This window comes from Homo sapiens, chromosome 2 (assembly GCF_000001405.40).
Source record: "Homo sapiens chromosome 2, GRCh38.p14 Primary Assembly".
NCBI classification, from domain to species: domain Eukaryota; kingdom Metazoa; phylum Chordata; class Mammalia; order Primates; family Hominidae; genus Homo; species Homo sapiens.
The window spans coordinates 218,272,542-218,293,123 of record NC_000002.12 but is presented as its reverse complement, the minus strand read 5'-3'; the positions used below and the strand labels follow the sequence as shown (position 1 = coordinate 218,293,123).

Here is a 20,582-nt window from a genome sequence, read left to right as displayed (position 1 = left end):
TTCTAGGTTTGCATGTTTGCAGTTTTAAACTCGAAAAGTGCATTTATCTCAAAAACACAGAATTATCAAGGATTTTAATTACTGATTTATTTGTAATGTAAAAATGGGAAACAAACGGCCTCCAGTAGGAAATTAATTTAATCCGCATAGCCATGCAATGGAATACTTCACGGCATTAAGATTGTGCTTTTGAAGACTATTTAGTGAGAAGAAAAATGTTCATCATAAAACAGTAAAAAGAAGGGCAGTAAACAAAACACCATACAATATACCCCACTGTAGAAAAACAAAATACATACAGAAATGTAATAGCCAAAGAAGGACCCAAAGCGAACGCTTCCCCCTGGGAACTAGGAGGGGTGGAGAGAAATTACTTTCTTCCCTGCATTTCTGTGTCTTTTCTAGCTTCCTATCAGTATCATGTATTGCCTTTAAATCCGAAAATACCCCTGTGTTATTAGTGAGGCGTCGTCGGGGCTCTGAGAGGCGCGCGCGCCCGGGACAGACCCCTGCGCCCCCTGGCGGCGCCCTGAGGCCCCGCCCCACGAGGCCGGCGCGACGGGGCGGGGCGCGGAGCCCCAGCCGAGCCTAGCCCTGCCCGGCCCCGGAGGACTTGCAACACTCCGAGGCCAGGAACGCTCCGTCTGGAACGGCGCAGGCAAGCCAGGGGGCCGGGGCCGGCGCCGTTGGGGACTGTGGGCGGTGGGGACTGGTCCAGGGCTGGGGCGGCCATGCGCCGGGGCGCCTAAACTTTTCGGAGCGCGCTCCCGGCTTGCCCGCTCCTGGGCCCAAGGAGCCCGTTCCAGATGGGGATCTCCCCTCCTGGCCCTTGGCGTTTCGCTCTCCCTGGGCGCGCGGGTGGGCGGCCGGGTCTGTGGCACCTGGTTAGCCTTGGGAGCCCAGCAGCGTGTTGTGGGCACTGGTGAGCGGAGCCAGGGTCTGGGGGTGTCCTCGTGTTCCCTCTTTCGGGCACGAGTGGCCTCTCTGTCGCAGGGCCTATCCACCATGCCAGCCCGAGTGGCCAGCTGTGTGGGATGAGGGCTTTCATGGCCCTCAGCTGGTGAGAAGAGGGAAGAGGGAGGGGAGACAGCCAGGGCCTGGCACGGACCCCAGGTTGCCCCCACACGCGCTGAGGCCAGTCTCGGTGTAGACAGGTGAATATTTAAGGGGTGGGGAAGGGGGGGTCCTAGCTTGCAGCTGGGGCAGAAGCCAATGAGCAGCTCAAGTGTTTGGCATGGGGAAGTGGCCACCTCTATCACCATGACTTTGCCCTCTGCCAGTCCCACTTCCAGCCACTGTTTCCCGGCTGGGTTCACAGAACTACAGGGGAGTAACATCCTCCTCGTGACTTCTTTGGGTTAGAGTGAAAACAAAACAGAGAAACGGGAAAAGGGAAAGCAAGTGGAGAGACTGGGGCAGGAGCCAGGGACCAGTGGGAGGAAGCAGAGGGAGGCTGCTGGGAGGCCAGGCCCTGGCCTTGTGGGGTCGGCACCAATTCTTGTCCTATGGGGTCTCCATCTCCTCTCCCTCCTCTGTGGCCTCTACGTGGTACCCAGGAGTTTGGGGTTCTACCTGAGCACCCTGGACATGGGATAAGTAGGCCTGGGAACGCAGGTCAGAGCCAGATGTCATGGAAGGGCCCTCAGGTGTCCAGTTCTCTGGGCTCTGAAATATTCATCTCATTAGTGAGCTTTGGTTTCCAAGCTGGCGACTTTGGGCTGGCCAGTGGTGGCAGGGGAGCCAGGTGCCTCCTGGGGCTGCTTTATTGGCGCAAAGGGGGAGCCATACTTCCTTCTCACCTGCCTCCTCTCTCTGTCTCTCCAGTCATGAGGATCCAGAGAACCAGTTTATAGCTTAAATGGAAGAGGCAGGACCACAGTGTCAGGGGCCCTGTCTTTCTGTGCTATGACCTCAAGGCCTCACTTGTAAAAATGAGCCCTTCAGAGAGGTAATGATGGGTTATCCTGTAAGTGTTGGGAGAGCCTCATGTCATGAGCTGGGGTAATAGCCACCTGGGCTCAGCCTCCTCCCCTGGGAATGGGTGCCTCAGCCAGACGCTGTCTACCTCAGAGCACCTCCAACCGCAGGCCTCACCCTGGGCCTTTCAGAAAAAGCAGAAGCCACAGAGAAGGGAAACACACATACTTGTGTGTTTTCAGAGGGCTGAACTGGGACGACCAGAGAGTGGAAGCTCATACAATTCTCTGGGAAGAAGTTCTGCTAACAACATGTCTGATCATGACATGGGCCTTCTGGACCTATTCTGTTGGGGACACAGTGGAAGGGATGACCTTGACAGAATCTTCCAACCCTAAGATTCTGGGATTCTAGGCCAAAACCTGGGTCTTGTTTTGAAGTAGAAATGATATCCAGAAGTCGACAGGCTACAGTGGCAGGTACCTCCATTGGTGGGAAGGGAGATATTAATGAGCTCCCACTTTTGTCTGTAATGATTTGTGCTTTGCCCCGTTGCACAGAGGTGAGGTTAGGGGTGCCCGTTTCCTGGTTCTGTGGTAGCTGGATATGTCCCCCGGCCCTTGGCAGTAAATCCCACGGTGGGATAGCAGCTGTGTGGAATGGGGGAAGGGGAGGACCCTCGCCAGAGATCCTGGCACTGGGCTGACCCCCTGAGAGTGAGAGGGCATGTCTAGTACTTCATGTGACTGCTCTGAGGGGCAGCTGGGTGTACGCACAGAGGTTATAAGAGACGAGGAGTTAGGATATGAATGATTCTCAGGGTTGGGTGTCTGTAATACAAAGGTGGCCTGGGTCAGCATCCCACAGGGTGTTAATAGGTTTGCCTCGATAAAAGTGGCTCAGGCTTAAGGGAGTTTGAAGGAACACTGGGTTAAACAAAGCTGAACAGGGTTGCTTACTGCAGGACTTCTCAGGGGCAGAATATGCCATTGTGAATTTCCAAGAAGGGGGTGTGGATTGTTTCTCAAGAGTCATCTGTTTCCAGCACTCATTCATTAACGTCTCCTGGGGCGTGTTCTTTAGAACAGTCTGGGAAATGCCTGGCTAGGTGATTCTGTTTCTCCACTGTGGCTCCCATAAACAAGTCCCTACTCCTTTCCCCCACGTGGGCTGATTTAGGGATAAAAGGAGGCCAGGGGAGGTCATTTGCCTGGATTCCTGCAGCTAGTTCATGAACCCAGGTCAGTGGACTTCCTGCCTCCTACTCTTTCTTTCCTAGAGTGTTATATACTGTTTAGCTCGGGCGTAACTGATCACCCAGGAAGAGCTGGCCGTAGGGTCCAGACAGCATTATGGGGACAGTTTGGGAGGGTGTGGACAGCCCCATACTGAGAACATGCCATGTACTTCTGCCTCTGAAGATGTCCTTGGAAACAGTTGCACATCAGTAGTGACCCCCTGGTGTAGGTTCTTGGGGAGCCATGCCATTCTGCCCTGAAGCCTCCTGTTAGGCTGTTCATTCAGAATCAGAAACTGGCAGAGTGGACTTTGATCTTTCAGTTTTTTTTTTTTTTTTTTTTTCTGTCGCCCAGGCTGGAGTGCAGTGGCATGGTCTCGGCTCACTGCAACCTACATCTCCTGGGTTCAAGTGATTCTCCTGCCTCAGCCTCCCGAGAAGCTGGGATTATAGGCATGTGCCACCATGCCCGGCTAATTTTTGTATTTTTAGTAGAGACGAGGTTTCACCATGTTGGCCAGGCTGGTCTCGAACACCTGACCTCAAGTGATCCGCCTGGCTCGGCCTCCCAAAGTGCTGGGATTACAGGCATGAGCCACCGCGCCTGGCCATTCTTTCATTTGAGGGGAATTGTCTTACTGATGTTAAAACTGGGTCTAGAGATGTGGCTCTCACAGTGGAGTGAGTCCCAAAGCCAGGACAAGAACTTCAGGTCCCCACCTCCTAGCCCAGGACCCAGGCTTCAGATCAACTTTCCGCAGGGGAAAGAAATAATGGTAGCAACAACAGCTTGCTCAGCTCCTTTCTATCTATCGTTTTGATCTTTACTGCCTTGGCCCCACCCTGGTGCTGCCTATTCACGCAGGTGCGTGCTACAGATGCCTCAGGGGCTTCTACTCCTGCCTGATATAAAAGCAAAGAGGCTGAATTTTAAATCAGGTGTGAGATCTATGCTTAAACTCATCTCTGCTGTTTGCCTGCTGTGGGACCCTAGATCTCTTTTTTTCTGAATTTCAGTTATCTCATCTATAGAGTGGGATGAGGGTAAGAATACCTCACAGCACTGTTGCAAGGATCAGATGTGCCTTAGTTACTATAGGTTGAGTGTCTCTTATCCAAAATGGGACCATTTTGACAATTTCCTTCCCTCCCTTTTCTTTTACCCACCCCAACTCCCTTCCACCCCCAAGAAAACACTTTACTCTCCTACTCGAGCATATAGTCACGATAGCCATGGGGGCAGACATCTACAGTGGCAGAAGCACATGGATTTTGGATTTTTTCGGATTTGGGGCTATGTATATTATACTTACTGGTTGAGCGTCCCTAATCTGAAAATCCGAAATCAGAAATGCTCCAGTGAGCATTCCTTTGAGTGTCATCTTGGTGCTCAAAATGTTTTAGATTGTGGAGCATTTTGGATTTTGGAAATGAGGGATATTCAACCTGTACTTCCTTAGTTATATAGTAAGTACTGGAAGTGGTTCAACTACTCTAAGTGGTTCCCTTCCTTCCCTAGTTATTTTATTTATTTATTTTTTGAGACAGAGTCTCCCTCTGTTGCCCAGGCTGGAGTGCAGTGGCGCCATTTTGACTCACTGCAAGCTCCGCCTCCCGGGTTCATGCCATTCTTCTGCCTCAGCCTCCCGAGTAGCTGGGACTACAGGCGTCCGCCACCACATCCAGCTAATTTTTTGTATTTTTTAGTAGAGATGGGGTTTCACCATGTTAGCCAGGATGGTCTCGATCTCCTGACCTCGTGATCCGCCCGCCTTGGCCTCCCAAAGTGCTGGGATTACAGGCGTGAGCCGCCATGCCTGGCCCCTTCCCTAGTTCTTTTTTGGGGTTAGTTATCAGTCTCCTTTGTCTGTCTCTTTCCCCTCCTAATCTTGAAGTTCAATGAAAAGACAGGAGATGAAACAAAGAAGGAAGTGAACAGGGACTGTGCTCAGAAGTATTATAGCATCAGCCTGCTAATGGCTTCCTCTTCCCTTATCTGTACTCCCAGGCCATCCTGACTTGGGTGGGGTAACCCGAGATTACCATTCTGATCACAGGATTCTGCTCCAGACAAGGGTGGCGGAGCTGCGGTGCCTGGGTCCTCTCGTGATCCCCAGGACAGCCTCTCCCTCCTGGGAGCTTGGAGCCACCCCTCGGTCTCCATGGGTCCAGAGAGAGGCCACCCTGGCTAGAGAGGGGGCTGGGAGGGGTGGCCTCGAGTTGGGGGCCAGAAGTCGAGGGCTGGCTGTCTTTTTTTTTGAGATGGGGTTTCACTCTTGTTGCCCAGGCTGGAGTGCAATGGCATGTTCTTGGCTCACTGCAACCTCTGCCTCTCGGGTTCGAGCGATCCCCCTGCCTCAGCCTCCCGAGTAGCTGGGACTTCAGGTGTGGGATATCACGCCCAGCTAATTTTTTGTATTTTTTAGTAGACATGGGGTTTGACCATGTTGGCCACGATGGTCTTGATCTCCTGACCTCGTGATCCACCTGCCTCGGCCTCCCAAAGTGCTGGGATTACAGGCATGAGCCACTGCACCCGGCCCGGTCTTAACTGTTTCTGAGCTGAGAGGTCACTAGAGAACTGAGAGAATGGTAGCTTGTTCTGGCCCCTCCTTGGGAGAGGGTGTGTGCTGGTGTCTATCACTCAGAGAGTGGGCGGGGCTGGGAAGGGAAGTTCCAAACCCATGACGAAGAAGAGGGCTGTTCTGGGGTGGAGCAGGAACTTTCTTGGCTCTGGGGTTTCCTTGTCTGTCAAATGACCAGGTGAGATCCAAAGTCTAAGCCAGCTCTGATATTTTAGTGTTTAGATCCCTGTGGCTTCATCCTCTTAGTCCCAAAGTCCAGGCTGATGGAAGGATATTTAGTTGATTCTGGGCCCCCTTGGTGCAGAATCAGGCCTGGTGACTTGCCCAGACACTCCTGGGTGTATCTTTTTACTCATTTGCTCTCGTGGCTATGAGGTCAGCTGTGCCCTGGGGTAGGAGGATAAAGTGTTTTCTTGTGGGGGCAGATAAAGGAAAAGGGAGGGGAACAAATCGTCAGATCTGGGCTGTGCTCCTGCGCCTGCTGGGTGGGGTTTCCTGAGATGTGCATTCTGAGCTATTTTTTTCCACTCTGGGCATCCGTCTCTGGCAGGGAGGAGGGCAGGCTGCCTGGACCAGTCAGCTGCTCCTTTCCATCCCTCCCTCCAGTACACATACTCTCCTCTTGCTGTAACCCCAGTAGCTCAGGCCTCCTCTGCAGATTCCGGAGCCTTAACCCTTCAAATACCCCCAGGAGAGCCCCAGCCGGGGCCTCAGTAGGCAGACAGCAGGATTACCACACTGAGAGGGCTCCAGGGGAGGAGGTGCTTCCGCCTCTGCATCTGAAAACCTTGACACCCAGCAAGTCCTGCTGTCTGAGCTCACCCACTTGTGCCGCTGCTGTGGTAGAAAGCAGGGGCTCTGGTTCCTTCCTAATGGGGGACTGGGGCCCTGAGAGAGGAGCAAACTTAGATCTATAATGGGCAAGGATAGGGCACAGTCTGAATGCCTTGATAACAGGCATTGTGAGGCAAGGAAGAATGTTCTAATCGAGCTGTCTGCAGACAAGGGGCTTGCTCCATGTTGCTGGAGTTCCTTCAAGCAGAAGGTGGGCCAGACACAGTGGCTCATGCCTGTAATCCCAGCACTTTGGGAGGCCTCGGTGGGTGGATCACTTGAGGCCAGGAGTTTGCCAGCCTGGCCAACATGGTGAAACCCCGTTTCTACCAAAACAAAAAGAAAAACAAAAACAAGCAGAAGGTGAATGCCTACTGTATTTTGGGAAAATTCAGGCTTCCAGTGGGGACCTTAAAGTCCCTGCAGACTGTGAGCCCCTCTAGTAGCTGCTGGCAGAACCCAGATCTGATTTCTAGTCCTCACTCTGTGTCAGTCTCGTGATCTCTCTCCCCTTCTCCCTCCTTCCCTTACCCTCCATTCTTCTCTAGCCTCCACCCTTAGACATAGCTACGAAAGTAAACACTGACCCTTTCCCCCTTTGCTGCTACCTAGGCAGATGCCAGCCCCAAACCTCATCCCTAGTGGAGGCCTTGCTGATGTGGAAGTGGCCAGGGCCCTCATGGAGGCTGGGCAGAAGCCCAAGAGCAGGCTCTAAAGCTGCCAAACCCGGCAGCCCTGGTCCCCGGAGGCTCTTGCCAGTCTGACAGTGTTCTTGGCACTGCTCAGAGGTGAGTGTGGCTGAGTTTAGCAACTCCCCTGGCTAGCGTTAATGCTGGGGTTTCCTCTCCTGTGCCCAGGTCTCTCTATGTAGACAGCTAGGATCTCGTCCTGTCCCCAGGACCAGCTCGGTAACCAAGGACAGGTTCCTGTGCTGTGGCTGTCTAGTTGGTAAAGTGAGGGGTTGGCTGTCCTTGGGTGAGTTTCTTTCCAGCTCTGACCTTTATGTATCTCCAAGCCTGGGCCACCCTCTTCTCCTGGGGCCGTTGGCCAGGCTGTGAGCCCTGTGGTGGTGTGGAGGGCCTGAGTAGTTTGGCTTCCACTTGTGTCAGCCTCCTGTTGAGGCTAAAACCCATGAGAGGGTTTTAGATGGAAGCTATGGCAGAAGTGATGAGAAGGTTGGATAGACAGGGTGTTTTCAGGTTAGGGATTAAGAGCAGGGGCTTGGGAGTCAGTCTTGGGGCTCATTTTGACTTCATCACACTCTAGCTAGGTTATCTTGGCCAAGTGATTTAATTCTTCTGTGCCTCAATCTCTTCATTTGTAAATGGGAATAATAATAACAGTATTAACTTGCTGGACTGTTGTAAGGATTTAATGAAAATAACCAACCTTTATCCCCATTGATCAGGGGTCGGGTTTCATTCTAAGCACTTTATGTGTATTTTCTTTTTTATTTTCTTCGAGACAAAGTCTCACTCTGTCACCCAGGCTGGAGTGCAGTGGCACGATTGTGGCTCACTGGAATCTCCGCCTCCCAGGTTGAATCGATTCTCCTGCCTCAGCCTCCCGAGTAACTGGGATTCTAGGCGCCTGCTGCCATGCCCAGCTAATTTTTATATTTTTAGTAGAGACGGGGTTTCACCATTTGGCCAGGCTGGTCTCGAACTCCTGATCTCAGGTGATCCACCTGCCTCGGCCTCTCAAAGTGTTGAGATTACAGGCGTGAGCCACTGTGCCCAGCCTTCTATGTGTATTTTCTCACTTAATTTTTATAGCAACCCCGTGGAGGGTACTATTACTAGTGTGAGACCCATTTTCCAGGTGAAGAAACTGAGGCATAGTGAGTTGAAATGGTCATGGTAGTTTCTGGTGTGGATGGGCTGGTGGCTGAGGTACCCGAAGGACTGGCCTGGAAACTGCTGTGTGCAGTGCAGGCAGGCCTACTAGCACATGCTTCTGAAACCAAAAGCCTGAAAGGGAGGGGCAAGAGAGGCAGGAGTGAAGCTCTGAGTCAGCACCCGCTGAGCTGCACCAGAACCTTGGAGTCCCCGTGGCCCATCCGAGGCTGACCCTTCTCTCTGAGGCACCTTTCACCCGGTGGCTGCCACAGTCCCTTGGTCTGGAAAGTTAGCTGTTTGCCCTGCTTGGCTCAGAGGAGGGAGCAGGGGCAGCTCTCTGGCCGAGCAAAGGTCAGGCCCTGCAGAGCCGAGTTCCCAGAATCATAGTCTGTTGTTAGAGGGGGCAGTGGGCTTAGAGGTCGTGTCGCCCCCACCTTATTTCACAGAGGTGCACCCTGAGGAGGTGCTGGGACACGTCATGGTGACATCACGGTTGGGGTTTCTGCCCACAGAGCCTTTCCGGCCAGTGCTTTTTTTTTTTTTTCTTTTGAGATGGAGTCTCACTCTGTTGCCCAGGCTGGAGTACGGTGGCGCGATCTCAGCTCACCACAACCTCTGCCTCCCAGGTTCAAGTGATTCTCCTGCCTCGGCCTCCTGAGTAACTGGGACTACAGGTACATGCCACCATGCCTGGCTAATTTTTGCATTTTTAGTAGAGCAGGTTTTCACTATGTTGGCCAGGCTGGTCTCGAACTCCTGACCTCATGATCTGCCCACTTCAGTCTTCTAAAGTGCTGGGATTACAGGCGTGAGTTACCGCACCCTGCCAGCTTTGTATTTCTGACCTGACATTCTTGCCCTGGTTCTATCCCAGCCCCTCTAGGGAGATGAAGAACAGCTTTCCTCAAAATAACCCACTTAGAGACCTGGACTTTTATTCAATTCCCCCTCCTCAACCCTCCCTGCCACCTTCCCCTCTCTGAATTATCCCAGTTGTCATAAAAGAGAAGAGATAAGACAGTCCTTTATTTGATCCCCGAACTATGCAATGTGCCCTAAAAAGAGACGCTGGTCTCTCTTGCTTCCAGCAGAGCCTCTGAGAGCCTCTGGTGTCTGCTGACCTGCATCTGGGGGTGTCCTCCTTGGGGATCCTAAAGCCCCCTGTAGATGCTCTAGAAGAGGTGGTGGCCCTGTCGAGCCCAGACTGCCAGGGCTTGTCCTTACTGGGGATGCAGGGGCCCTCTAGGGGCTTCCTTAGCTCCTCCTAAGCCTGCATCTCTGCTACCTCAGAGGGGACCACCAGGCCCAGAGGACAGTAACTGGCAGAGGAGGCATAAGAGCACCGCATAACATGAAGGACCTGGACCCAGGATCTGGAAGGCCTCCGTCCTGGTTATGCCACTGACCTGCGAGTTCTGGGGTTCTGGGGAATCACTTCCCTGTTCAGGGCCTGCATTCTCTCATCTGAAGTGAGCATTTGGGGCTTATGGCCCTGAGGTCCCTTCCAACTCCAGTTTGGGGTTCCCTCCCCCTGGTTTCTTGGCCCTCCCCTGGCTATGGGGCTCTTCCTGCTGCAGGGAAGGCATTCCCTTGACCTTGTGGCCTGACTCCTCAGCTCTTTGTCCTCCCTGCTAGCACTGCACCTGGAAGACAGGTAGAACTCACAGAGAGCCTGGGATTCAGAACATCTGTCTCCCCCTCCAGGGTGGGGGTAAGGGGGAGGGCGAGGGGCCGTGCACTCACTCTCTCTTCCCTAGCAAGGCCAGAGAGCAGCTGTGGTCGCAGGCTGCCGCATGCCTTTCTGACACGCCACCGCTGTTATTTGAAGGAACCAGAAAGTCCTGTCTCAAGCTGGCCCTTTGGCACAGCCTCCCTGCCCCCAGCCCCTGTACCACCCACTCCTGCTTCTCAGGCTTCCTGACTCAGCCTGCCACTGGCCCCCGGGTCCCTGGATCCCTTCCTCCTCGGGGCCTGGCAGCTCTGGCACTGGGGCTAGCTTGTTTTCCTCCACTTCTTCCCCCGGCTCTCCACTTTGAGCCTTGGCTCCAACCCAGCTCTGGCTTCCAGGCCTGGCATCCCCGTCAGCTGTGGCAGGGGCAGAGCTGACCCTTTCAGAGGGTCCCAGCTGGCCCTGTGAGTCGCCAGGAGGCTGTGCCTGGCCCATCTGGCTTCTTCGCTGGTTCTGCCATCAAGCCACCAAAACTGGAAGGTTTTCTTAAACCACAACAGGGAGTTCCCAGGCTCCCTGGTTCCCTCTCTCCTCAGCGAATCCTTCCTCCTGCTTTCCTATGGCTGGGGAGCTGCACAGTGAGAGGCCTGTGGACAAGAAGCAGGCGCAAAGGCAGGAGGGACAGGAGCCCAGTTGGTGGGGAGGTGGCCTGTGGACAGCAAATCACACGCTGCCCTCTAAGGAGAAAATAGGTGGTGTTCCTCTCCACGGAGGCAGCCTGGACAAGGCTGGAAGTGGGCCCATGAGGCTGAGTGAGCTGGGCCTGGGCATTCACGATTGCTTTTCTCCTCTCCCATTTCAGGTCCCAGCAGCTGGGGTTCCCCCTCAGCCCGTGAGCAGCCATGTCCAACCCCAGCGCCCCACCACCATATGAAGACCGCAACCCCCTGTACCCAGGCCCTCCGCCCCCTGGGGGCTATGGGCAGCCATCTGTCCTGCCAGGAGGGTATCCTGCCTACCCTGGCTACCCGCAGCCTGGCTACGGTCACCCTGCTGGCTACCCACAGCCCATGCCCCCCACCCACCCGATGCCCATGAACTACGGTGAGTCCTGGAAGGGCAGATGGAAGGTGGGTGGGAGGGACAGCACTTGGAGCAGATGAGGCCACCGCCTCCTGCCCCTTTTCTCTTCTAGTTTCCCTTAAATCCCTTTCTCATCTTCTCTGTTGAGATCTCTCCCTCTGTTTCTGTCTTTGTTACCCTCCACTTTTTGCCTCAGCAACTGGCCCCCAGCCACTTGCTGCCCCCTTTGTTCAAGGAGATCCATGAGGCATGTCCCAGAACGTACACACCACAGGAGAATGGGGCTGGGCCAAGTAATGACTCCTGAGGGGTTACCTCAGGGCACCAGCTCTGTTTCCCAACAAGCGGCCAACAAGCTGCTGCCACCTCCCAGACCTGTCGACTTCCTTAGGAACTCCTTTGGGAACCTGAACCACTTTCCTCATCCTTTAAAGTGAAATCTGACTTTTGCAAAAGACATTTGGAGCCAAGTTTGGTAAACATCATGGCAGGGACATGCTTGTGTTTGGTCAGAAATGAGGTGAGGCCGGCCGCGGTGGCTCACGCCTGTAATCCCAGCACTCTGGGAGGCTGAGGCGAGCAGATCACCTGAGGTCAGGAATTCGAGACCAGCCTGGCCAACATGGCAAAACCCCATCTCCACTAAAAATACAAAAACTTAGCCGGGTGTGGTGGCGTGCACCTGTAATCCCAGCTACTCAGGAGGCTGAGGCAGGAGAATCGCTTGCAATCCCAGGAGGTGGAGGTTGCAGTGAGCCAGGATCGCACTACTGCACTTCAGCCTGAGCAACAGAGCAAGACTCTGTCTCAAAAAAAAAACCAAAAAAAAAACAAAAAACAAAACAAAACAAAAAAAGAGGCCGGGTACGGTGGCTCATGCCTGTAATCTCAACACTTTGGGAGGCTGAGATGGGCGGATCACGAGTTTGAGACCAGCCTGGCCAACATGGTGAAACCCTGTCTCTACCAAAAATACAAAAAATGAGCCGGGCGTGGTGGCATGCGTCTGTAATCCCAGCTACTCAGGAGGCTAAGGCAGGAGAATTGCTTGAACCCGGGAGGTGGAGGTTGCGGTGAGCCGAGATCACGCCTTTGCACTCCAGCTTGGGCAACAAGACCGAAACTCCATCTCAAAAAAAAAAAAAAAAAAAAAAAGGAAATGAGGTGAAGTTAGAGTGCAGTGAGTCTTCCTGGGTGGCTCAAGCGTGGATTTTAAAAGTAGTTCCCAAAGAGGCATTCAGGCATTCAGGCATTCAGGGAATGTTTGCAGCCCTGCAGCATCTCTGAACCCCAGAGGGGTGTCAGCCAGCTCTCACCTGGACATGTGCGCTGGTGCGGATCTGCGCATGGGTCCTGCACAGTCACGCACACCCTTTGCACACCTGCCTCTGTGAGGCTGATGCAGATCCCTGTCTTCACCTCTATCCCTGCTGCTGCACAAACTGCGCTCTGCCGCCCTCCTTTTCTCCTACCCTCTGTCCCCATCCCCTGTTCTGCCCTGGCTGGCTGCCCCAGTGGATGCCCATACCTGCTCCTGCCTGGCTTCCCCACTACATCGTGACCCCCCAGTGAACCCCCAGTGGCGTGGGCTGGGCACACAGGAGCCCTCCACAGATGCACGTGAGGAACGTTTCCCACCTAAGCCCCCTCGTGACAGGCCGGCTCTGGGTCACTCTGAGGGTGTCTAGAAGACCCCAGCTTGGGAGAAGAGTTCCTGTTATAACACTTGTCTTTTGGCTGGAGATCCCTGAGACTTTGAGATTGTCAGGGAGGCTTTGGGATTGACGCCACATGTCTCAGGTCCCCAGCTGAGTCAAGTGTCATCTGTCCCTAGGCCCAGGCCATGGCTATGATGGGGAGGAGAGAGCAGTGAGTGATAGCTTCGGGCCTGGAGAGTGGGATGACCGGAAAGTGCGACACACTTTTATCCGAAAGGTAAGATACGCGCTGGGAGGTGGGTGTACCTGGGGCCCCTCAGGCTGTGGGAATGGGAAGTGGGTAGGCCACAGTAGCCCCAGGGCATCAATTCCATGAAATACACTGGCTGCCTGTCTTCTCTAGCCTTGTCTGCTTCTCAGAGGGGCACCTGGCTTCTCTAACCCCAGGGTTCCCTCTCTTTTTGCACCTCTCTTCTTGACCATGTTTTGGGAGGACACATTCAGTCTGGGAGAATCTCCTAGGTGGGTTCTGCCACAGCGCCCGCCTTCCCCAGACATCTTTCTCCCTTTAGACTATAGGCAGCTTGGAGCCAGAAATGATCCTACTCGCTTGTAACCCACCCTCTCCATCTCACAGCTGCATAGAGCGTGCAGACTGAGCTGCTGGGAGTGCAGAGGCCATACTGGTAGAGTATGGTGGCCAGGCAGGGCAAGTCAGTAGTCACCGAGGCTGGTGTTGGACAGGAGGGGAGATGGCAGGGAGCATGGGAGCGGGGCTGAGGAAGAAGTGCACATTGCCTCTGAGCCAGGCATCTCACTGGGGTCGCCTCTGGGCCAGGCTGCAGCTAGGGAGGGTTCTTGAGTGGGAGGAAAGTACTGGGGGCTGGCAGCTTCCTGGGGCAGGCCAGGGGTGCCGGATGGTGACCCATGCCCGGCCGTCTGTGTCCAGGTTTACTCCATCATCTCCGTGCAGCTGCTCATCACTGTGGCCATCATTGCTATCTTCACCTTTGTGTAAGTCTCTAGGCTTTGCCACCCACTCCTACTGCCCTGGGGGTTCAGGGTCACCTGCTGGGGGTGTGGGTGGCGGTGGGCCCTGCTCTCAGGGTGACCATGGGCAATTAGAGAAGGTGAAGCCAGGGCTGCCTGGCTGGCCTGGGTGGGGCAGACAAGCCTCAGGGTGACTACTCCTGTCCTCCTGTGCCCCACAGGGAACCTGTCAGCGCCTTTGTGAGGAGAAATGTGGCTGTCTACTACGTGTCCTAGTGAGTGTGTGCTCCTCTGTGGTTGGGCAGGGAGGCAGGGGTGGCAGCTTCTGTTTCTAGGTGACCAGCTTTGCTCAGGGCAGGATCAAAATGCTTTTTGAGAGGGCCCCCAAGTTGGTGCCAGTTTCCCGTGCCAGAGGGTGTGGGTGTGCGTGCCCAGATGAGTAGCAGACCCCTAGAACTCGAGAGCAAGAGTGGGACCTGCTGGTGGTGGCGTGCACGCTGCGCTGCAGCCCCCATGTCCTCTCAGCCCGTCAGCTGCAGCCTCCCCAGACCTCCTTCCTGGCCGGAGCCTGGTGCTTCAGAGCATCTCAGTGACCCTGGCTGGGGGTAATCTCGTTCTTGCTTCCTGTTGAGTTGCTTCCCCTCAGACTTCCAAACGGCTATTTGGGCCCCAAATCACTGGCCTGGTGTGTGCTGCCAAGCGGGGCAGATTTGGGCCTGAACTGCTTCCCCATCTCTTTGTCCCTAGTGCTGTCTTCGTTGTCACCTACCTGATCCTTGCCTGCTGCCAGGGACCCAGGTGAGTCCCAGAGACTTAACACAGTGAGAGGGGTGACAGGGATTGGGATGGGGGCCGAGTATTTTGGAAAGAAGGATTCCTTTATAGCAGCTGAATGGAAACTTACAAGAAATGAGGAGGAGGATGACGATGACAGCTACTGTTCAGGTGTATACAAAGGACCATGTGTGTTTAGGAGCTAACTAGCTGTCACTCTTATAGTAACCCTGCAAGACAGGTAGCATTTTAGCCAGTTAACAAATAGGAAGAACCCGAGGCTCAAAGAGGCTGAGTAACTTTCTCCCCATCACACAGGCAGTCAGTTTAAGAGTTGCAAACCAATCCAGGTGTTTCTGGCGCCACAACACAGGTCTGTCTCATTGGCCCATGTTGTCCCTGCGTACCACACCTGAACAGGTGCCAAAGGCCATGCCAACCTCCCTCCTTGGAGTCAAGGCTTAATCCTCCAGGCACAGGAGCCAAGCGCTTCCTTCTGCTGTAGGAGCCTCTGACGCCTGAGGGGCCCCAAGTCATTTAATCAAGGCTTCTCTTTCCCTTCAGACGCCGTTTCCCATGGAACATCATTCTGCTGACCCTTTTTGTAAGTCTAGAAGGGTGGCAGGAGGGTGTGGAGATGCTGTGAGGGAGACTGCTCCCAGGGAAGGGATGGGGACCCATTTCAGAAGGATGTCCTGGCTGTCTCCTCCACCTTATCTGGGCCGCCTGTTCTGATCTCCTCTGTGGCTGCCTCTTTCCAACTTGGTGGCGTTCCCCAGCTCTGGCAGAGGCCACCATGGCCACTCCCCCAGCACCCTGCCTTCCTTCCTTTTTAAGTGTTTCATTCTTGTCTCTCTCCTTCCCTTAGACTTTTGCCATGGGCTTCATGACGGGCACCATTTCCAGGTACATTCAGGGATAAAGCACCACTCTTGGGAAATGTGTATTGTGGGGAGTGGGGTGTTCCTGGGCCGGCAGCCAGCTGCGTGGGTGGATTCTGGGCAGGTCCCCTCTGGAAGTGGTGATTTTGAAGTCATTCATACGTGGCTTAATGCCTCTTGTCTGTAACTCCTGCTTCTCCCCAGTATGTACCAAACCAAAGCCGTCATCATTGCAATGATCATCACTGCGGTGGTATCCATTTCAGTCACCATCTTCTGCTTTCAGACCAAGGTGAGGGCATGGAGGGCCCTTCCCTGGCCCCCCGACTCCCCTTTCTTATCAGGCCCGGACCCCGGCACACTAGGGATGTTCCCTAGAGACCTGATCCCCTTCTCCTCATCCGCACCTACAAAACTGTGTCCTGTTTCTGTCCTTAGAATGTTGTGGACATTCCCATACCCCCTAGGAGGCAGCACTGGGACTCCCTGGCAGGGCCAGTCTGACTGGGCTGGTTGTCACAGCCATCTGACAGGTGCCTCTTTCTTGCTTCCTGGCAGGTGGACTTCACCTCGTGCACAGGCCTCTTCTGTGTCCTGGGAATTGTGCTCCTGGTGACTGGGATTGTCACTAGCATTGTGCTCTACTTCCAATACGTGAGTGTCCCAGGAGAGCTGGGGTCAGGGAACCCAGTGCTCAGGGCAGACTTCCTATATAGCATGGTCTCGCAGGCCCCAAAGGTCCCCGGGGCAGGCTCTGACCTCCAGAACCTCTCGACTGGCTAGCAAAGGCACCAACGTGGAGGCAGCATCCTTCTGGGTGAGGGTAGACTCTCTGTGTGGAGATGGGCGGCCTTGGAGCCAGAGCACCTGAAGCCCTGGACTGCATCACTGCACTCCTAGGGGAAGGGGTGGGTTCAATCTGGCTGGCAGCTGAGAATCAGGTTCTCGGAGGCAGACTGGGAGAGGAACCCAGAGGACTGAGATGATGGGCCTAGGTGGAAGGGACCTTGCGGGGGTCTCTGGATCCAATTATTTCCTTTATTCTGTTCAGCTGGGGGAGAACAGTGCCGAAGGGGAAGGATGGGGACACGAGGGCTGCCTGCCCATGGGCCAGCTCTGTCCTTCTGTGGACGGCCACCTGTGGGCATGTCATGTGGGCTGTCCTGTGGGTGCTCCCGGATTTTGATACTCACCAGAGGGGTTGGGGGGCCTCCCTTCTTCCTTAGTCTACCCCTCCCAGGCTGGGCTGTAGGAACTGGTCTATTGAATGCTGGGTCTGCCCCTTTCAGAGCTGTAACTCAACTGCTTTTTTTCTAGAAGTATAGTAGACACTTGTGTACCTTGACTGGCTTTGGAGATTGGTTTTATACAGCCATTGCAGGATGGCCTCTGCTTTCTCTGCTGGATATATCACCAGTCTTAATTTCCTCCAAGATCTGGAAAGGCAGTAGCCTTTCATGGAGAGCTAGCTTCCCAGCTCTACCCACTCTCATGCCACTATCCCGGGGGAAGCTGGGGCCTGTGGGCCTGTGGTTTGCTGAGGTTTCTAATGCCATTCTCTGTCCCCTTCTTCTCCAGGTTTACTGGCTCCACATGCTCTATGCTGCTCTGGGGGCCATTTGTTTCACCCTGGTAAGTCCCAGCCCCACTCTAGGAAGGGGAGCTGAGGGGATGAGGGGAGGAATCTAGGGAAGGGGGCATGAATTTAGACTGCCTGGGAGGCAGGGAATGGGGCCATAGCAGGCCATTCCTCTCACTACTGTCCAGAGATTCCATTGATTTTTGTGGGCACTCTTGCCATCTCTTGTTCAAGCTGCCTGCTATTAGAACACTAGTCAGCCATATTGAGAACGGTGTGTCTGCCTCCTTTCCTAGACTGTGAGCAGCTACAGTATAGAGCCCATATGTTATGCTGTGCGTTAATGTGGCCCTAAGCACTGTGTGGCGCATAGGCCCCCAAGACAAATCTGCTGACCAAAAATGAGCTCTGGACACTGATGCCTGAGTTCTCACTTCTGGCTTCCCTATCCTTGCAGTTCCTGGCTTACGACACACAGCTGGTCCTGGGGAACCGGAAGCACACCATCAGCCCCGAGGACTACATCACTGGCGCCCTGCAGATTTACACAGACATCATCTACATCTTCACCTTTGTGCTGCAGCTGATGGGGGATCGCAATTAAGGAGCAAGCCCCCATTTTCACCCGATCCTGGGCTCTCCCTTCCAAGCTAGAGGGCTGGGCCCTATGACTGTGGTCTGGGCTTTAGGCCCCTTTCCTTCCCCTTGAGTAACATGCCCAGTTTCCTTTCTGTCCTGGAGACAGGTGGCCTCTCTGGCTATGGATGTGTGGGTACTTGGTGGGGACGGAGGAGCTAGGGACTAACTGTTGCTCTTGGTGGGCTTGGCAGGGACTAGGCTGAAGATGTGTCTTCTCCCCGCCACCTACTGTATGACACCACATTCTTCCTAACAGCTGGGGTTGTGAGGAATATGAAAAGAGCCTATTCGATAGCTAGAAGGGAATATGAAAGGTAGAAGTGACTTCAAGGTCACGAGGTTCCCCTCCCACCTCTGTCACAGGCTTCTTGACTACGTAGTTGGAGCTATTTCTTCCCCCAGCAAAGCCAGAGAGCTTTGTCCCCGGCCTCCTGGACACATAGGCCATTATCCTGTATTCCTTTGGCTTGGCATCTTTTAGCTCAGGAAGGTAGAAGAGATCTGTGCCCATGGGTCTCCTTGCTTCAATCCCTTCTTGTTTCAGTGACATATGTATTGTTTATCTGGGTTAGGGATGGGGGACAGATAACAGAACGAGCAAAGTAACCTATACAGGCCAGCATGGAACAGCATCTCCCCTGGGCTTGCTCCTGGCTTGTGACGCTATAAGACAGAGCAGGCCACATGTGGCCATCTGCTCCCCATTCTTGAAAGCTGCTGGGGCCTCCTTGCAGGCTTCTGGATCTCTGGTCAGAGTGAACTCTTGCTTCCTGTATTCAGGCAGCTCAGAGCAGAAAGTAAGGGGCAGAGTCATACGTGTGGCCAGGAAGTAGCCAGGGTGAAGAGAGACTCGGTGCGGGCAGGGAGAATGCCTGGGGGTCCCTCACCTGGCTAGGGAGATACCGAAGCCTACTGTGGTACTGAAGACTTCTGGGTTCTTTCCTTCTGCTAACCCAGGGAGGGTCCTAAGAGGAAGGTGACTTCTCTCTGTTTGTCTTAAGTTGCACTGGGGGATTTCTGACTTGAGGCCCATCTCTCCAGCCAGCCACTGCCTTCTTTGTAATATTAAGTGCCTTGAGCTGGAATGGGGAAGGGGGACAAGGGTCAGTCTGTCGGGTGGGGGCAGAAATCAAATCAGCCCAAGGATATAGTTAGGATTAATTACTTAATAGAGAAATCCTAACTATATCACACAAAGGGATACAACTATAAATGTAATAAAGTTTATGTCTAGAAGTTAAAACCCTGTATGGCTCCAGGAGTATGTGTGGCTCTGCCCAAAGTATCCACTTCTTCCTTCTGCATTCTGGCTTGGGCTGTCCCACCTTTTCCAAGGTAATCAAATACACTTTACTGCAGCAGTTTCCGGGGACGGATGCAATAGACTAGTGAAGGCTCAGGAGTTGGGTGGGGAAAGGGAGAGCTCAACCCTATCACACTGGATCACTGGATATGGAAGAGACCTCTTGGCTGTAGTGCTTGACCTTTTCTGCACCATGGACCCTTTCCAAAAGCTCATGAGAGCTAACTCTCTTCCTCAAAGAGCTGTATGTATACCTACAGTTTTGCAGATGGAGGAGGGGATGGACTGCAGGTTCAGTCCATGTCAACTCCAGTCCCATCTTACAAAATGAGGAAACTGGGCCTGGTGCGGTGGCTCACACCTGTAACTCCAGCACTTTGGGAGGCCGAGGGCGGTGGGGGGGAATCACCTGAGGTCAGGAGTTTGAGACCAGCCAGACCAAACATGGTGAAACCCCATCTCTACTAAAAGTACAAAAAAAAAAAAAAATTAACTGGGAGTGGCGGTGAGTGCCTGTAATCCCAGCTACTCTGGAGGCTGAAGCAGGAGAATCACTTGAACCCAGAAGGTGGAGGTTGCAGTGAGCTGAGATCATGCCATTGTACTCCAGCCTGGGCAACAAGAGTGAAACTCTGTCTCAAAAAAAAAAAAAAAAAATAAGTAAAAAAAAATCCAAAAAAAAAAAAAAAACACAAAAAGTAACTGGGCATGGTGGCACTCACCTGGGGTCCCAGCTACTCAGGAGGCTGAGGTAGGAGGATCACTTGAGCCCAGGAGGTGGAGGTTGCAGTGAGCTGACGATCACAACACTGCACTCCAGCCTGGGTAACAGAGCGAGACTCCGTCTCAAAAAACAAAAAACAAAAAACAAAACAAATGAGGAAACTGAGGCCCAGAGTCGAGTCATTTGGACTCAGTAAAGAGCAGTGCTTTTTTTTGCCTCCACACCCTGAATACCTTCTTTGATTCTCTTTATTGTTTCAAGGCTGAGCGGGACCCCACCCTCCTGGCCGGCAGCTCTGAGGGCTTGGTCCCGAGGGCCCGGGGCCTAGGCTGGTTGCACTTAAGTCTCTGGGTTTGCCCCACCATCCAGCTGGGAACACTGAGCTCTGTGAGAGGGAGCACACATGAGTAACCAGCCCCACCCTCTGCCCCTCCCATCCCAAGGGACTCACAAACCCAGACCTGGTTCCTTTCTACTAAACACTCAATAACTTTATTTGCCTTTGGCTGGCTCCTTGGTGTGGGGCAGGGTAGGGTTTGGCAACAGCCTGGGCTTCATGCGCCCTCTGGTGGACCTCAGAGGCACGAACTGGAATCTGGGCCAAACCTGAGGACTTAACAGTCAATAGCCTAGGAGGGTCGCAGCGCTCCTCAGGTCTGCACCCCAGACCCAACATCAGGGGACGGGGCACTCTGGGAGGAAGCCCTGAACCTCTGGCTCTCATACTCGCCCGTGTTGGACAACCGCATGTTCTGCCGAGCCTTCATCTGCTTCACACGGTCCTTGTCCACTTCCCGCTTGGTGAGGATGAAGAGGAGGATACCACAAGGGAAGCCGATGGCCCTACGGGTGGGGAGATGTGCACGGGGTT

The 20,582-nt window shown here is 53.9% G+C and overlaps 2 protein-coding genes and 1 non-coding gene across 15 annotated transcripts in view, besides 6 other annotated features; 2 read left to right on the top strand and 1 right to left on the bottom strand.

Moving 5' to 3' along the window:
* PNKD (PNKD metallo-beta-lactamase domain containing) overlaps positions 1 to 20,582 on the bottom strand; it is a 76,275-nt gene that overhangs the window by 53,670 nt on the left and 2,023 nt on the right. Inside the window, exon 3 of one of the 3 annotated variants that reach the window (NM_001077399.3) lies at positions 20,177 to 20,554. The exons of the other annotated variants lie outside the window; for them this stretch is intronic. Within the exon in view, the coding sequence (NP_001070867.1) occupies positions 20,362 to 20,554 (193 nt within the window). The 3' untranslated portion in view covers positions 20,177 to 20,361. Of the gene's footprint in view, positions 1 to 20,176; positions 20,555 to 20,582 lie in introns of those variants that run through there. 3 annotated transcript variants of the gene reach the window in all.
* Positions 126 to 1,088: an enhancer, noted in NCBI's record as "H3K27ac-H3K4me1 hESC enhancer chr2:219156759-219157721 (GRCh37/hg19 assembly coordinates)". NCBI's record gives its function as "activates a minimal SCP1, AML or CMV promoter by ChIP-STARR-seq in naive H9 embryonic stem cells {active_cell/tissue: H9 hESC(naive)}" and the evidence as "EXISTENCE:reporter gene assay evidence [ECO:0000049][PMID:30033119]".
* Positions 364 to 843: a silencer, noted in NCBI's record as "silent region_12313". NCBI's record gives its function as "represses an Ori minimal core promoter by ATAC-STARR-seq in GM12878 lymphoblastoid cells {active_cell/tissue: GM12878}" and the evidence as "EXISTENCE:reporter gene assay evidence [ECO:0000049][PMID:35858748]".
* TMBIM1 (transmembrane BAX inhibitor motif containing 1) lies at positions 621 to 18,927 on the top strand. 11 transcript variants are annotated; one of them, NM_001321435.2, is made up of 13 exons: positions 621 to 654; positions 7,186 to 7,361; positions 10,943 to 11,184; positions 12,998 to 13,098; positions 13,771 to 13,835; positions 14,033 to 14,086; positions 14,559 to 14,609; positions 15,150 to 15,189; positions 15,454 to 15,491; positions 15,671 to 15,758; positions 16,025 to 16,120; positions 17,045 to 17,098; positions 17,503 to 18,927. In NM_001321435.2, exons 3-13 carry the CDS (start codon positions 10,983 to 10,985, stop codon positions 17,647 to 17,649), a joined length of 936 nt encoding a protein of 311 aa, NP_001308364.1. In that variant the 5' UTR covers positions 621 to 654; positions 7,186 to 7,361; positions 10,943 to 10,982; the 3' UTR covers positions 17,650 to 18,927. The 11 variants fall into 11 exon arrangements, 10 of the variants coding, with proteins under 10 accessions (NP_001308364.1, NP_001308362.1, NP_001308365.1 ...); NM_001321433.2 differs by lacking the exon at positions 7,186 to 7,361 and adding an exon at positions 8,988 to 9,085 and having other exon boundaries at positions 621 to 658; NM_001321436.2 differs by having other exon boundaries at positions 621 to 658.
* Positions 1,089 to 2,053: an enhancer, noted in NCBI's record as "H3K27ac-H3K4me1 hESC enhancer chr2:219155794-219156758 (GRCh37/hg19 assembly coordinates)". NCBI's record gives its function as "activates a minimal SCP1, AML or CMV promoter by ChIP-STARR-seq in naive H9 embryonic stem cells {active_cell/tissue: H9 hESC(naive)}" and the evidence as "EXISTENCE:reporter gene assay evidence [ECO:0000049][PMID:30033119]".
* Positions 2,973 to 3,472: an enhancer, noted in NCBI's record as "H3K27ac hESC enhancer chr2:219154375-219154874 (GRCh37/hg19 assembly coordinates)". NCBI's record gives its function as "activates a minimal SCP1, AML or CMV promoter by ChIP-STARR-seq in naive H9 embryonic stem cells {active_cell/tissue: H9 hESC(naive)}" and the evidence as "EXISTENCE:reporter gene assay evidence [ECO:0000049][PMID:30033119]".
* Positions 5,805 to 6,184: an enhancer, noted in NCBI's record as "active region_17119". NCBI's record gives its function as "activates an Ori minimal core promoter by ATAC-STARR-seq in GM12878 lymphoblastoid cells {active_cell/tissue: GM12878}" and the evidence as "EXISTENCE:reporter gene assay evidence [ECO:0000049][PMID:35858748]".
* Positions 6,446 to 7,254: an enhancer, noted in NCBI's record as "H3K27ac-H3K4me1 hESC enhancer chr2:219150593-219151401 (GRCh37/hg19 assembly coordinates)". NCBI's record gives its function as "activates a minimal SCP1, AML or CMV promoter by ChIP-STARR-seq in naive H9 embryonic stem cells {active_cell/tissue: H9 hESC(naive)}" and the evidence as "EXISTENCE:reporter gene assay evidence [ECO:0000049][PMID:30033119]".
* MIR6513 (microRNA 6513) lies at positions 12,936 to 12,999 on the top strand. Its single transcript, NR_106768.1, has one exon. It is a non-coding gene; the product is annotated as a microRNA 6513 (primary transcript).